At 42.3% G+C, this 15,401-nt stretch overlaps 1 protein-coding gene across 2 annotated transcripts in view, besides 2 other annotated features; it reads right to left on the bottom strand.

Moving 5' to 3' along the window:
- SND1 (staphylococcal nuclease and tudor domain containing 1) overlaps positions 1-15,401 on the bottom strand; it is a 440,400-nt gene that overhangs the window by 135,098 nt on the left and 289,901 nt on the right. The gene's annotated exons all lie outside the window — the stretch shown is intronic.
- Positions 13,051-13,550: an enhancer, noted in NCBI's record as "H3K27ac hESC enhancer chr7:127583999-127584498 (GRCh37/hg19 assembly coordinates)". NCBI's record gives its function as "activates a minimal SCP1, AML or CMV promoter by ChIP-STARR-seq in primed H9 embryonic stem cells {active_cell/tissue: H9 hESC(primed)}" and the evidence as "EXISTENCE:reporter gene assay evidence [ECO:0000049][PMID:30033119]".
- Positions 13,551-14,052: an enhancer, noted in NCBI's record as "H3K27ac hESC enhancer chr7:127583497-127583998 (GRCh37/hg19 assembly coordinates)". NCBI's record gives its function as "activates a minimal SCP1, AML or CMV promoter by ChIP-STARR-seq in primed H9 embryonic stem cells {active_cell/tissue: H9 hESC(primed)}" and the evidence as "EXISTENCE:reporter gene assay evidence [ECO:0000049][PMID:30033119]".

Raw genomic sequence — 15,401 nt, 5'->3', positions numbered from 1 at the left:
ACACTGAAACTCAGGAGGTCATATTCTCAGTCTCTTTTGAATCAATAGGATGGCAGTTGTGGAAGCAGCAGAACAAGATGAGGGAATGAATTTCAATTCATCAGAAACACCCCCACAACGATAGGGCCATCTAACTGGCTATAGCGTACACAGGGCCAGGTTCTCATCAGCATGCTGAGAACTTCTACAGGAGAGGACACTAGTTAGTGAAATGCCAACCGGGCTGCTTTCCTAGTTCCAAATGATGCCAACATGGTGCTAACACTGTCATTTTGTTATTCCCATGGTTCAGAAGCAGCAGGGACAACATAACAAGATACCTTTGAAGAAAAACTGTTCTTGGACCTATCTTCTTGGGGACCTGGGGACAGAACTATAGGATCATGCAACTTAATAATTTGCTGTTCTACTGGCCACAGAACATTGAATAGTAGACTGGTAGATACTAGGTTTCTCAGACGGCCTCTCAATATTTTCCTGTTTAGGGAAACGGTCTCTATTGATTAAATGCCCACTCTGATCTAGGCAGTGTCCTAGGTGCTGAGGATATGACAGGGACTGAAACAGACAAGAATCTCTGCCTCCATGAACTTTATATTCTGAAGAGGGGGAAAAGATAGTAAAAGAAGCAAGTAAATTATACAATGTGATAGAAGGTGGTAAGTAATATCTAATAAAATAAACAAGAGATAGTGTCAAGGAAGAAGGTAGCAAAAAATTATGCACACATGCACACGTGCAGATGTGTAAACACGTATCATCAAACTATCCCAACCATAGCACTCAGGCCTGGGATAACTAAGAGATAATGTGCCCTAAACTGTAGCTTGCCCCTGTTCTTAGAACTCAGCAGTAGGCCAATAATAATCATTGGCAGTGCAGGAAACAGGACTTAGGGATCTGCTGAAGCTCTAGGCCATCCATCGAGCCTCTCCTGACCACTCTAGCCCTGTCTCCTCTTTCTCACATGAACTTCCAGAGATGTTCTGTAACCTCACCTCACCTTTATGCAGATGCTCACTGCCTGGAGTGAGCTAAAGAGAGTTAATTAAATATTAAAGGAGTATTTAATCTGATTTTCCAAGTGTACCACCTCCTCAACATGGACTTACTCCTGGAGACAAAGTATCCAGATGTATCTGCCACAGTCCAGCTATAAATGCAGGGGCAATTGGAGCAAGTGACATACTGGGGCTCTGGATTTCAGGGAGCAGGTATGGTCATAGAGCAAGGAGGCGGGAGCAGAGACTTCGCAGGAGATCACTAGATGACAATCTCTGTTCATTTGGCATACACAGATGCAACATCTGCTACAAGATAGGCATTGTGCTAAGGATTGGGCATATGGAGATAAACAAGGAACACAGGCTAGAGGAAGAGAGACATGTATGCTAAACTGAGGTTTCTTTGGAGCCATATACTTACTTACACCAGGTTCTGGGAGGTGATGATAAAAAGAGAGAAGGCAACAGGCATTCCAAGTAGAGAGCAGAAAGGGTTAGATGCCTGAGGCCAGTAAGACTAGTTTTGGACTCTTCAAGTGCTCCTGCTCAGGAAGAGCGGATGGTGGGGGAATGTGGGTAACGAAGCTAGAAGGATGAACAGGGTATAGATCATGAAGGCCATGTATGTCTTATTTTGAAGGTAAAGGAACTGATGAGAAGTTATAAGCAGGGCATGATGTGAGCAGATATGTGTCTTAGAATGGTCTCCCTTGTACAAGGCAGACAGGCCAGAAGGGTCATGAGAACAGAAGAAGACTGGTTAGGAGACAGAATCCTGTCAGAGCAAAAGACTGGAATAAACTGATTCTATAGACCCCAAGGATTGCTGATGATATGCCTGAGAAAGGGGACTGGGGGGCAGGTTGAACAAAGCATGACAGCAAAAGGAGAGCTTATTAGGAGCTACATTTTTCTCTCTCCTGTTTTAAATCCTAGATAATTTTACCACCAAAGTCTCTCTGCATAACCACGTGCCACCACCCCCCCACAACTCCACTGGCTAGGGGGAGAGAAGTAGCTTCCCACCCTGACAGTCCCAGTGCTTGGCAGGATGAGTTATGGGAATGCTCTCATCTCTCTCTCAAGATAAGGTGCGGTTCTCCATGGGAGATGCAGGCAGATATATATCAGTGCCCTAACCAACAGAAATAAATGTCATAACTCCAGCTCCTATCCATAAATACACAGCGCAGGAACAACCTTAAACAGCCCAGTGTGCCCAGAAGAGGCAGGATTTAGTGGGCTTCGTTACTTGCTCATGTGCTGAAAAGCGCTTTTAGGAGGGTGTTAAATAGGCACATTACGCAAGCTCATGGACCTAAAATAAATAAGGCATTCTCCTTATGTGGACGTCACCCACACAGAGAAGCTGCATGTGCCCTGTTCAACAAGAAAGGAGAGGAAGAGACTTTACAGAGATGCCAGATACTGCTCTTGAGCCAGTATCCTTCAAACCAGTGCCAGCAACAGGGCAGGGAGGAGATTCTTTATTGGCAGGATCCCACTGCAGATACTAGGGATACTCATTCTAAACAAGACATGAGTCTCAGCAAGAGAACCTGCTGCTTGTCATCTCCTAGAGATCTGTGATTTCTGGAAGTGGAACTGGTGGGAGACTTCTTGGTGCAACACCCTTTATGATTCTGGAGGCTGTGCTTTATCCACCTCCCATCACCTGCTCTTTGTCTTTAGGTCCAGGCCATCAATTTGGCTTTTCATACAAAGCTCTGCTCCTAAACAAGCAACTGGCTCATCTTCCCAAATCAATGAAGCTCTCCAGCTCCCTGGAGAGGGATATATTAAATATCAATCATGCATATTATTTTACAATATAATTACTTTGGCAATTAATCTGTAAGAAATATTGCTCTCCAGATCCTAACTTCTGCCAACACAAACACAAAGCTCTTGGAGAGTGGTCACATGGATGGAGCCTGAGCTTCCAGGGAAAGAGAGAGAGGGCTGCTCCATACAAAGCCGAAGACATAAGAGATTAAAAGATGAGATGATCTCCCCAGAGTCTCTTTCAACCCTGCTTCAAGAGACCATCGGAGCCACTATTTAATCAAGGAGAAGCACAACTCAAGCAAAAATGGGGGAGGGACTGTTTTACCCAAGCAGGTAATAATAAGGGCTCCTGCAGTAATGAGGTTTATAGACTGCATTTTGGGGGGAGTAAAGATAGATATTTTCACAGATAAGATCTTTAGTACAGCATCTCCATACAAAACCCCACTGTTGGCTTAATGAAGGTGGGCTTTTGTTTTGTTTCCTGCTGTGTCTCCAGAACACAGTGTGCATTCCAGAAATATTTGCTGGAGTAAGGGGGGAAGGAAGGAAAGCAGGTTCTGCCTGACTCATTTCACTGAGAGGTGCTCACATAGCCACCCTATCCACTGTCCAGTCCGCATCAATCAGCAGGTCCATCTTTGCCCACAATCCCACGAGGAGCTTGTAAGATAGCAAATATATATATATTTAAAGCCAATTCAATTTCCCAAATCTAAATGCAGTTCATCTCAAACCTATACACTGCCTTACAGTAATCAACTGATCAAATTAAAAAATAAGTAGCTACACTGAATGCTGAAATTTCATTTCCTTCCTTTTCTCCTTCCCTATGGTGGAAGAGGAACCGTGAAAAGGCTAAGAGTAGCAGCAGGAGAGACCAGAGAAGGAAGTGATAATTGCCAAATTGGATAAGCAGTCACTGAATAAATGAAAATTAACAAGACTTGTTTTCCAATACCTTCAAATCCAAGTGAAAATGATTGCTGGTGGAATGAACGAGGAAAAACATTTCTCCATCAAAAGCACTTTTCACTTTTTACTTGACATTTCTTTTACTGCCCCAATTAGTGTCATTATGACAATAAACTAAATAAAAGGCAGATTGAGAGAGTTAAGGGAGATTAAGTGTGTAATCCATATAAAAGCCACGAACACAGAGACTAACTGGTCCAGTCCACATGCACATGCAAATGTTTACTTCATATTTGCCCTCCTTTCCTATTAGAGGGAAGGAGTGGGGGAGAAAAAACTTAAAGGCAGGAAAAATAGAAGTAGGTGGGAAAAGAGATTGAAAGTAAAAAAGACTAGAAGAGGAATTTTAGAATGAGAAGTGTGTGGGGTGGTAAAATAGGAGGGAGGAAAAGTTCAGGGGACGGAAAAGAGATCCAGGACAAGACCTCTGCTCCCATTAGCAGATCTTGATGTTGGCAGGCGAGGAATCAAACACCCTATTACAGATGCTTTCTTCTTTTCATACATACACACACACACACACACACACACACACACACACACACACACACACACACACACACACACACACACACACGGTCTTGTCACCCAGGCTGGAGTGCAGTGGAGTGACCATGGCTCACTGTAGCCTCGACCTCCCAGGCTCAAGTGATCCTCCCACTTCAGCCTCCCAAGTAGCTGGTACTACAGGTGCACACCACCATGTCTGGCTAATTTTTAAATTTTTTGTAGAGATGGGGGTCTCACTATATGGCCAGGGCTGGTCTCGAACTCCTGGGATCAAGCAATCCTCCTGCCTTGGCCTCCCAAAGTGCTGGGATTACAGGTGTGAGCCACTGCAGCCAGCCCCTTTCTTCTGACTGTAGGTTTCTCTTACTTGTGCTACAGTCACCCACACTATGAAAAAATGGTTGAGATTCTATTGATAAAAGATGTTTTACAGGCATCTACATTAAGTAAAAATGTTCACGTTAATTATGGGCCTCAAAATATTGGGTATCTGACACTTTCAATTTTGATAAGCAACTTCAGAGATAATCTAGATTGTTGTTAACTGTCATGTCAAAAATGAGTTACAAGCACAGAAAGCTAAAGCAAACAGCCATAAAATCGAACACAGCTGCTTTCCTCAGTGGCTAACGGATCTACTGAGGAATCTCCAGGGGCTGCTAGGCCATGGGGTCTGAAAAAATACAAGAAAGCTCAGAGTTCCTAATTTTCAGCCTACAGCTAACAGTTTCTCAGAGACGTTTGTGTTTTCCTGCTCCCTGAGCTTGTTCCATCAATTTGCATCCTCTGTGGTTGTTGCCTGCCCTTTGGAAATAGTGATGATCTCTATTTAGATGCAGTCTTCATTCCTGGAGGTAGAACAGCCTCTCAGGAGATTCTCGGAAATGCACATTGGTGCCACAAATATGACTACAAAACAAAAATCTATTAATGTCTTGGAAATGATATCCCACAGAAATCAAGATCAAAACCTGCTAAGCAATAAACTTATATATAAGAATATACATCGCTTTCCTGTATAGATGAAATTTCCACTTATTCAACAAATATTGAGTATCTACTATGTGACAAGGACTGCTAGGTGGGGATACAATAGAGACAAGCAACACAAAAACTTCAAGGAGTTTAGAGTCTTTTGGAGAAAGCCTCCACTAAATAGGAAATAAGTAAGGGTGGGGAACTACAGGGAGCTAGAACCCATGATGAGGGGGAAGGGCTTATTCTGCTCTGGGAAAAAGTGGTATTAAAACTGAGAAGTGAAGGATGAATAGGAGCTACCTCTTTTTATGTAGCAATGTAGATTTTGCAACATGCAGGTCCAAATAAGTCCAGGAAAAGAAAGAAAGCATCCTCAGCTAGATAAAGTGGTTTTGTTTTGTTTTGTTTTTGCTTTTTTCAATGACACAAGACAACACCTAAGGTCACTTGCTAAGGCTCCCACACATACTAATAAAAGAGGGTCAGGGACCAGGATTTATGCAATGGACCCTGATCTCAGGCACATTCTTTAATCAATTCAGCCTCATATTTCCAACCCCCGTTTTGGACCACCACATTCTATCCCCCAAAATTAGCTTTACTCACAAGAAGAAATTACTTTTAAGAAGCAGAATCTCTCCCTATCCCCTTCCATAGAAATGTAAGAATACTTAACACGTGACCTACCCTCTCAACACATTTTTAAATAAAGTACTCTTACAATAGGCACAATATTGTACAGCAGATCTCTAGAACTTAATTGTCTCACATAACTGAAATTTTAGACCTGTCAAGCAACAACTCCCTGTTTCCCAAGGCTCCCAGACCCTGGCAACCACCATTCACTCTATTCTCTGTTTCTATGAGTGTCACTATTTTAGTTACCTCGCGTAACTGGAATCATGCAATATTTGTCCTGCGACTGGCTTGTGTCACTTAGCATAATGACCTGCAGATTCATCCATGTTGTCGTAAATGGCAGGATCTCCTTTTTTTTCCCTAAGGCTAGATAACATTCCATTGTAGGTATATACCACATTTTCTTTATCCATTGGTTCCTAGATGGCCATTTAGGTTGTTTGAATTATCTTGGCTATTGTGAATAAGTGCTGCAATGAACAGGGGACTGCAAGTATCTGTTCAAGATACTGATTTCATTTCCTTTGGATATATACCCAGAAGCAGAATTGCTGGATCCTATGGTAATTATATTTAAATTTTTTTTGAGGAATCTCCATACTACTTTCCATAGCAGCTGAACCATGTTACAATCTCACAAACAGTGCACAAGGGTTCCAAATCTAGATTTGTTCTGAAATGGTGCTTGCTTGCATATCAAATGTTTGGGGATTAAAAAAAATAATAAATTGGTTCTTGCTCATACTTGCTATCTTTTAGTTTTTTGATAGTAGCCATCCTAATGAGTATGCAGTCCAGAATCTTTTTTAAGAGTCTGTAATCCTATATACATCTGAGATTTAATCTGCAGCCACCATTACATCTCTGTAAGATGTGGCCACAATGACAGACCAGCCTAGTATGCACACTAAGAGCTCTGCACCTCTTACCAAACAAGGGCGAATCTGGGCAGGAGGGAGGGAATGTAACAGGACTGTAGTTTCATTTCATGGATGGGAGGGAAAGTCATGTACAGTATTGGTTCAAGGATATGCCCTAAAATGTCATAAGGCAAAGGCCTTCCCAGACAATAGCATTTATGTGGACAGGATTCAATTCATGTATCAAGTACTGGATCGAAATGGCCACTTAGGGCTTTCTTTGCATCATACAAATGCTGTGTCACCGGATAAGAGGCACATCACAAGGATGATCTGCTGATCACAATGACACTATTTTTTCTCCACTTCTTTAATGCGGAAACTGAGAGTTTCATTTATCTAGCAAGTTAGGGAGCCTAAACTTAGACTAGGTGGGGACTGGCTCCAGAACCTGTTCTCTTAGCCATTAACGCATTGTGTATACAATGAATATTTCGTAATTCCCAAACCTAGAGGAAAAAAAAAGGGGGAGGGAAGTCTAGGCCCTTTCTTCTCAAAAGAGGGGTCTGCAAATCACTGGCATTGACATCGTCTGGAAACTTGCTAGAAATGCAAATTCTCTGGCCCAACTCCAGACCCATTAAATAAGTTTGGAAAGCACTATTCTAAAGCTCTTGGGATCCTAAAGCTCATGGGGTCCTGGTGACCACAGTCTCTTTACAGCTTCTACTCTAAAGGGCAAATCAAGAAGTTCTGTCCCAGCATTCCAGTTTTCTTTCAAGTACAGTGAGAGGAAGAGAACTGAGAGGGAAGGGAGTGGAGGATAAGCACTCTTTATCTTCTATTCAGCATAAAGCCTGGCTCACCAAATGACAAGGGAAAGGCAAAACAAAGTGATAGAGCACAAAACACAGCTGGCCATTAGTGCTGACAAAGGCTGAGGGAAGCACCTTTTCCTTCTTCAGAGGATCTAACCCACATTTCACCCTGTGCTGGGGCCAAATCCAAGCTGGGAGGCAGCTTCAAATAAGGCAAAGGACCATGGATTGGAAAAGAAATTTTGTTCTCAGGTGATGTTCAAAACAAGTAAAGATGACTTCTGGTCTGCTGAGGGAAGGGTGTTTTTCAAAATGCAAGATTTCACACACAGGCACATACTGTATGAGATGCTTTTTGTCCCCCAAAACAAAAAACAACAAAAGAAACCCACACAGTTTTTTTGTTCTTAAATGCTGCTGGGAGAGTGATTCAGTTTTGAATTTAATAGTTAAAGCTGTAAGCTTACTTTCTCAGTGTGTATGCACATCTCATCTCCTTCCAAACATTAAGAGATAAAAATCCAGCTCTTTTAAACTTGGCTCATTAAAGGCAATCTTCTTGCTAAGTAGTGAACTTGAACTGCTTTTAAGTTTGATGCAAATAAAGGTCAAACTATTTTACTTTTTTCTTAAGGGTTCAGGGAAAACAAATGTGTATGAGAGAGCCTGAGGTGGAAGAACAGAATGAGCACCAAGAACTTACCATTCAAAGTGATTTAAGAGCGAACAGGGCTTCATTTATTTGCCAGCTCCCTGTCTTCTCATCCCTCCCCTTCAAATCTCTTCACATTTGCATTGTTCATGTAAAATGAGTCAGGGAATGCAAAAGTTAAGGTTCTCATAGCAACTGTTAAGAATCCCACACTGCACATAAGCAGTATTGGCAATTACTAATTGGCTGTTGCTAAAGGTGAACCCTTAATATACCACATGTGTGAAGTGGGCGAAACAGCATTCTAACAGAACTTGAAACTTATTTCTCAGCTTATGTGTTTAAATCGGTAGCCTTAAAAATGAGCACCTGACAAAGAAAGACAAATCAAAGATAAATCAAATGGTTAGCACCATGAATCTATAATCCTAACAAGAAGAGAACTGGGAACGGAAGAGGGTTGGGCTATGCAGGGGTCCAGATCTTGCACAAATATCTGGGAGACATTTGAGCAATGGGTGAATCCCAAACAAGCAGCTTGCCCCAAAGAAGCTGGTAGGGCCATTCAACATAGCTTCTCAACTTCTCTCTGGTGCTATCACCAAAGCCCAAGGTCCTCATCTCATTAGGGCCCTAATTGCTCTTCTGAGAATTGGATAGATGGCATTAGCATTAGCCCTTGGCTAGCTCACCTTTGAGCTCAGTCTACTTTAAAACTGAGCTCTGTTATCCAATTAGAGTGTTTATCTGATGAACTACGGGAAGACACAGACGGTCTTCTAAGCTGTCATCTCCTACTCATACAGATTACATTTATGTCAGGGCAAAAATTTAATCAACTCAATTTACTGATCAGCTGACTTGATTTCAAACTCAAAATGTAAGATAGTAAGGGGCAGGATTCATAAGATCATGGCATTTTAGCCCTTGAAAGAACATCAGCTACCATTTAATATAATCCAGGGCCAATAGCTAGGACTATAACCTGGAGTTAACAATGGGGGGTTGAGAGGGAGGTACAGCCTATAAAGGCAGACAATGAGAATCAGAGAAGTGGGGGCAGATACCTGTGTGAGCTTTGTTTTAAGGCCATACAGGAATCACTACAGTCTGGGTGAGAAATAAGGTCTTCCAATTTCTTATTCACTAAACTTTCCATTATCAACTTCCCTCTAAAATATTTCCACCTCATGTTTCGCCTATTTTATTCCCCTTGAATTAGGTTTCCTACCTCAACCCTACTACACTGTGTGTGTCCTGCTGTACCCAAAAGTAGCAGTCTCCTTGCAGACTTCATAGGATCATGGATAGCAATGGGGGCAAAAGAAGTGCAAAAGCTAAGAATGGTGGGGTCATTATTGGCACAATGCTTGTCATCTCTGGGGCCAATAAAACAACTGGCCATAAAATCCATACTATTCACTGATGGGTGGGAAAACAGAGCTGAGTGAGGGCAAAAGAGACATAATCAATGAGGACAAGGACACATACCAACATAGTATTCATTTCAGTGAAAATGCAGAAGGACCCAAGACTCAGAGTGGATGGGAACTGCAAATATGATAAGAGTGTGCAAAGTTGAAAAAAATAAGAGTCTTCCTTTTGGTCTGTGCCATGACATGTAAGGCCAGCGCCCAGAGTCCTCAGGTACTAGTTGCCATCCGTGCCTCTGTAGCTGGCGTCTTGGGAAGCGCCACCTTGAGGGCCCTCTCATCTCTGTGCTGTCCATCTGCATTCAGCAGGTTGGCATTCAGCTAATATTTATAGTTCACCACGAAAACACTGATATTCTCATAGTGCCATTAAATAACAGAATCCAAACATGCTTCGAAGTGTATATGAAGTGGATTATTTTGCCATACTTCTGACTCATTATTTCCTGAAATCTGAAAGAATATAACATTATAAAGCTCCTGGCATATCTAGGGGCAGCATGAAAAACTCAGACAGCAAATATGCAAATATCCTGAGATGTACACATTTCCAGAGGCTTCCAGACAGGGCTGTAAACTACATTACTTAAATGCTATTATACTTTTAGGTTCTTTCACCCCTGATAACATCTCAGCCTGACAGAAGCCCCAACCCAAAGCTGCTAGAATGCTAAGTTTTGATCCAAAAAGACCCCTGGCCTCACAGTTGGTCTGGAATTTGAACAGAGAACTTGAAAGCAGAAGTTTCCCTGGAAAACCAGGATGTACAACTGCCATGAGTCGCCTTTTAAGCTGGAACAATATCATGAAACAAGAATGGTGACCCCTTGAACTTCTAGAAAAAATATTTTCTATATGAGATGGAAAAACATTATTTTCTGTTCTTATGGATGTGAGAAGCAATCTGACCAAAATCTTCTGGTTCTAAAAATACATAAATAGCTAGTGGGGCAATATGTTAACAATTTAATAAAGGGTAAATGGAAGATCTTTGTACTTGTATTCTTGCAACTTTTCTGTAAGTGTAAAATTATATCAAAATAAAGAGGCATAAGAATTATTAAAAACAAAAATAAAAAACTTGAGGCTTAAATGGTGGATCTCCTGGGACACTTACTCGCCATAGTCATGCCATTCTGTGAAAGGTGCATCAGATGCAACAGTCCAGGAAATCTCAACAGCCACTTCCTCAGAGGAAAGCCCTTTTTTAGCAGACACTGTTAACATTTCAATGCCAGTTTCATGTACTCTATCTCAAAACTCTGCTCTTCAAGGTAGTCAGTTTAACCCTTTCACCTCCATATTAGAAAAGAGGATTCCTTGGTGGATGGCAAATATTCTATTCCTCTAACTTGCACTCTCTAAGCTATACACTTAAGTATCACCAGGACTAGGCAAGTTGCTTGGTCTTTTATTAATAAAGTAGCTGAATAATTTATAAGGGTTGCATAGGGCCCATTAGAAGTGCCAGAGCAGTAATAACTGGCTTAGGACTTTGCTTACTCAGGGCTAAAGTTTAATTTATCCATAAATGCCCCAGCTCATAAACCCATCCCACAGGTCTGACCTGCTCTCTCTTGCTCTATGATCACATGTCTTAGCCATGCTCTCATCTTAGATATGTTCCTATTGGTGTCATCTCTGGGGACAATAAAACAAATCCAAACCCCCAAACAACTAAAAATTCATACCTTCATTACTACACTTCCTACTTAGGGTCACTGCCACTGTCCCATTCTTATGCTTTGCTTTTGATCATCCCAAAAGAAAGGCAGTACCAGATTGATTCCTAGCCAATAAGAGAGTACACGCAGATGCAGTGAATGGAGGGAAGATTGGAAAGGTCCCTTGTTACCTGGAGATAAATATGTTCAATGTCAATTAGGGCATTGCGTTCTAAATGAGGAGATCAAGAAAATATGCTCTGCTATTTATTTAGTAAGTGAGTTAACTTTCCCAGGCCTTAGTTTTCTCATCTGCAAAATGGAGACTGTAGTGTAATGGTGCCTGCCTCACAGGACTGTGGGTAAGGATCAAATGAGTTAATCCACAGCATGTAAGTACTCATTAAGTGAAAACTATTATTAGAAACTCAGACGTGGAATGAATCTTAGAGAAACCTAATCCAAACCACTTATTCTGTGAAAAAAATCTGAGGCCTGGCGAGGCTCTGTGACCTGTTCAAGGCTCTGTTACTTTGGGGGCAGATCTAGGAATTAATCCAGTTCTCCTGAGAGACACCCAGTTTGGTTCCGTATGTGATTGCAGGGCTGCTGTGGCTCTAGCACTCTTTCTCTATGGAAACTGTAGGGTTATTTTGCTTTCTAAAAAAAAATTTTTTTTTTTTTGAGATGGAGTCTCGCTCTGTCACCCAGGCTGGAGTGCAGTGGTGCGATCTCGGCTCACTGCAAGCTCCGCCTCCTGGGTTCACGCCATTCTCCTGCCTCAGCCTACCAAGTAGCTGGGACTACAGGTGCCCGCCACCATGTCTGGCTAATTTTTTTATTTTTAGTAGAGACGGGGTTTCACCGTGTTAGCCAGGATGGTCTCGATCTCCTGACCTCGTGATCCGCCCACCTCGGCCTCCCAAAGTGCTGGGATTACAGGCGTGAGCCACCACGCACAGCCTTTCTAAATTTTAAAAGAGTCAAAACGTTAGCCAAGAAACATCAGTGCTCATTCATTTATCCAAGAACTTTCTAGTGAGTGCTGACTTGGTGAAGCACTATTCTAGGCAGTGTTATGGTGGGTTCAGCAGTGACAAGACAGACAAGGTCCCTACCCTCAAGCATCTTACAATCTGATGATGAAACAGTGATGTCAGAGGGAGTGATAGAGGGGGATGTAGTCAGGAGGGTGGATGGCAGTTAATTGAGGCTGTTTCTTTGCAGTGTAATCTCTAGGAAGATGGCACTGTAACACTGGTTTCAGCATATGCATATATGAATATGCATGGGAATATGTGATAAGAAGAAATTATACGAGGTGGCATTACCCTCTGAAAAGTTCATTCTTGGGCAATCATATCAGAAATAAACACTACCCCTTATCTGAATAGACCTTTTCTGGTCTTGGTCTTACCTCCCTGGCTATTCTGGAGCAGATGGGTGGATTAAGGCAAAAGGGCACTACAGTAATCAATGCAGGGCTCAATTCACTCTCAGGTGAAGTTCATTTCTCTATTCTCTCAAGGTTGGATTCTTAGCCTTTGGCATTTGTGCTATGTGCCATGAAATTCCTGCCCCAAGAACCGGTTCAGGGGATCAAAGAGCTATTATTAATGACTCAGTTTAGGCCAACTGAGGGAGGGAATGACAGTAGAGGCAGGCCACTCACCCCTCCATTCAGCCACCCTCCTCCACAACGGGGCCATTGAGCAGGCGCCACAATAGAGGGCTGAGAATAAAAGGCTGAAGGAAAGCATACAGAGTCCCTTTGCACAGACTCGGTCATTCATCACCAGGCAAGTGCCAATATCTGGGAACAGCAATCTCAATTTCTGCAAATCCTCCAACTTGCAACAGCTGCTAGTGACTCTGGTGGGCGGCTTTGCTGCTTACGCCAGATTCCAATACCAAGTCCTGGCCCAGAGCCAAGTAGACATTACTTAGGTTAGAGACACGCTGGCTGCAGAGAGCAGCAACAATGGACTTCACAGCTTATAAAGCAGCTTACAAAGGGCTCCCGTGTATTTCAAAAAGCACTTCAGATAGCTGGTGAGAGAAGCTATCTGCACAAATGCATTCAAGCAGTTTATTTCTAACCCACTTAATTCAAGGTTTCCGTCAGGAGCCAATGGCATAGTGGAAGTAGATGCAGAGAACTGCAAGAGGGCTGGATGGCTTGGCAGCTGAGGGAACGCAGTCGAGCCACATCCGCCCTCCTCTGAGGCACCAGCTCAGCAGGATGAGGAGTGACTGGCAGCAATCAGCCCTCCAACGGGTTAACAAATGTAATGAAAAAATGAAACATATTCTGTGGGATTCCATGGCTCTTTATTGAGTTGTTCGTCAAAACTGCTTTCATCAGCACAGTTAAGGAGCAATTTCTAAACGTTACCAAATGAATGTGCCGAGTGCCATCTAGGTGCCTGCTGCCACACCATCCAAATGCACCTTCATCTGATTGCACAGGTAATGCCAGCCAATGGCACCTCCTGTTCTGTCTTACCTCTCTCAAGTCTCTAGAGTCCCACTCATCTCCTCCACGAGATCTAGACTTGCCCTCATAGGCACAGCTGACCAGTTTCTAGAGAACAACTTTGCCAGGTAACAGGCACAGAGACCAAAAGAAGCTAAAGATTGAAGCACAAAGGCCTATGTCTGGAGCCTGGATTTCATGGAAGACACAGAAGGGCACAGCAAACAATGGACCCAAAATGGACCACGTTCGTAGGATAAATACAGAGATAGGTAACAATTCTTTATCAATTTTGTCTTGTCCTCCTGCCCATCACTTTTTCAAAAGAATTTCATGAGTATTTTTATTTATGGAAAATGAACTAATGTGAAGATTGAGGTGAGGTGGGAACTAAGGACCCCCTCACATGACTTTGGACCCCACTTGGAGCTCTGATGTGCTGTGTATGGATTTCTTAGAAACTATGAATCAATAGATTCCAGGTAAGAAATTATTACAATGATTAATAGAATCAAAAGAAATATACAAAGCTGTATCAAACATGAAGTAGAACTGGATTGTGAAGTGGCACAGCTCAAGTGCTACTGTGTTGAAGGAACCAAAGCTACCAACCACCCAGCACTCATTCCAATAGTAAGATGTATTCTTTAAGGGAATAAGGAGTGAGTATGATATGGCAATGTTCACTGTGAGGCCAACCTCATAGCATGAAATGGATCCACGTAAGAGGCTCAGAATGCTATTACCCCATATTATTAATGTATAATATGCCATGTGCAGCAATGAGACTCCTTAAAGGGATCAGGTTCTGAATTAATGTATCATCTGTACTTGGATTATCAGCATCAAATGCAACTCTTCGTGTCTTGGTTATTCCAACAGCTATTAGAAGAATGAAGATTATATCAGAGAAAACCTTTAGGGAGAAAGTGGGGAAATAAAAATAGTTTCTATCAACTGCAGAATTTGTGCTTGCCTAACAACAATGCACATTTACCTCCAGTATGACTTCCCTGTATTTTTCATGTGATGTTTTAAAAGTTAGCATTCACCAACAGGAAGAAACTCTGCAACAGAACTCAGAGAACCAAAATTAGAGCTCACAGAGGAAAGCAAAATGGCACAAACACAGACCTATCTACCAGAGCTCGCTTTCTGCCCTCATCCTGCTGCTAGAAACCAGACACTATGTTAGGCACAATGAGGCAAGCCTAGGAAGGCTTCAGTCACAGATCCATGATCTATGACTGTGCATTTCTGATTCAGTTCTTGAGATGCAGATGCTGAAGCTATTGTACCATCTGGCAAGAGCAACGGCTGCTCCACGAGACCTTTGCTCCTGGCAAATCTCACTTAAAAGACCCACCTCTAACTTGGTATTTTACACTCAATATTAATATTTAAGTATATGCTGTACTGTAGTGCAATATAAATGCTTGTCAAAAATAAGACCCTTGAAGGCATACACTATTTCCTTTTTTCCCCTTGCAGTGTCAAGTAATTAACAGGTGTTAAATAACCACTGACTAGTCAACTATAAAAAAGAGGGATGTGAGCAAGAATACTAGCAAGAACAAGTAACTGTTACCATGTCTTCCCACCCA

The sequence above is a fragment of the Homo sapiens genome, chromosome 7 (genome assembly GCF_000001405.40).
Source record: "Homo sapiens chromosome 7, GRCh38.p14 Primary Assembly".
NCBI lineage: Eukaryota > Metazoa > Chordata > Mammalia > Primates > Hominidae > Homo > Homo sapiens.
The sequence above is the reverse complement of the archived record's forward strand: the minus strand, read 5'-3'. Positions and strand labels throughout refer to the sequence as shown.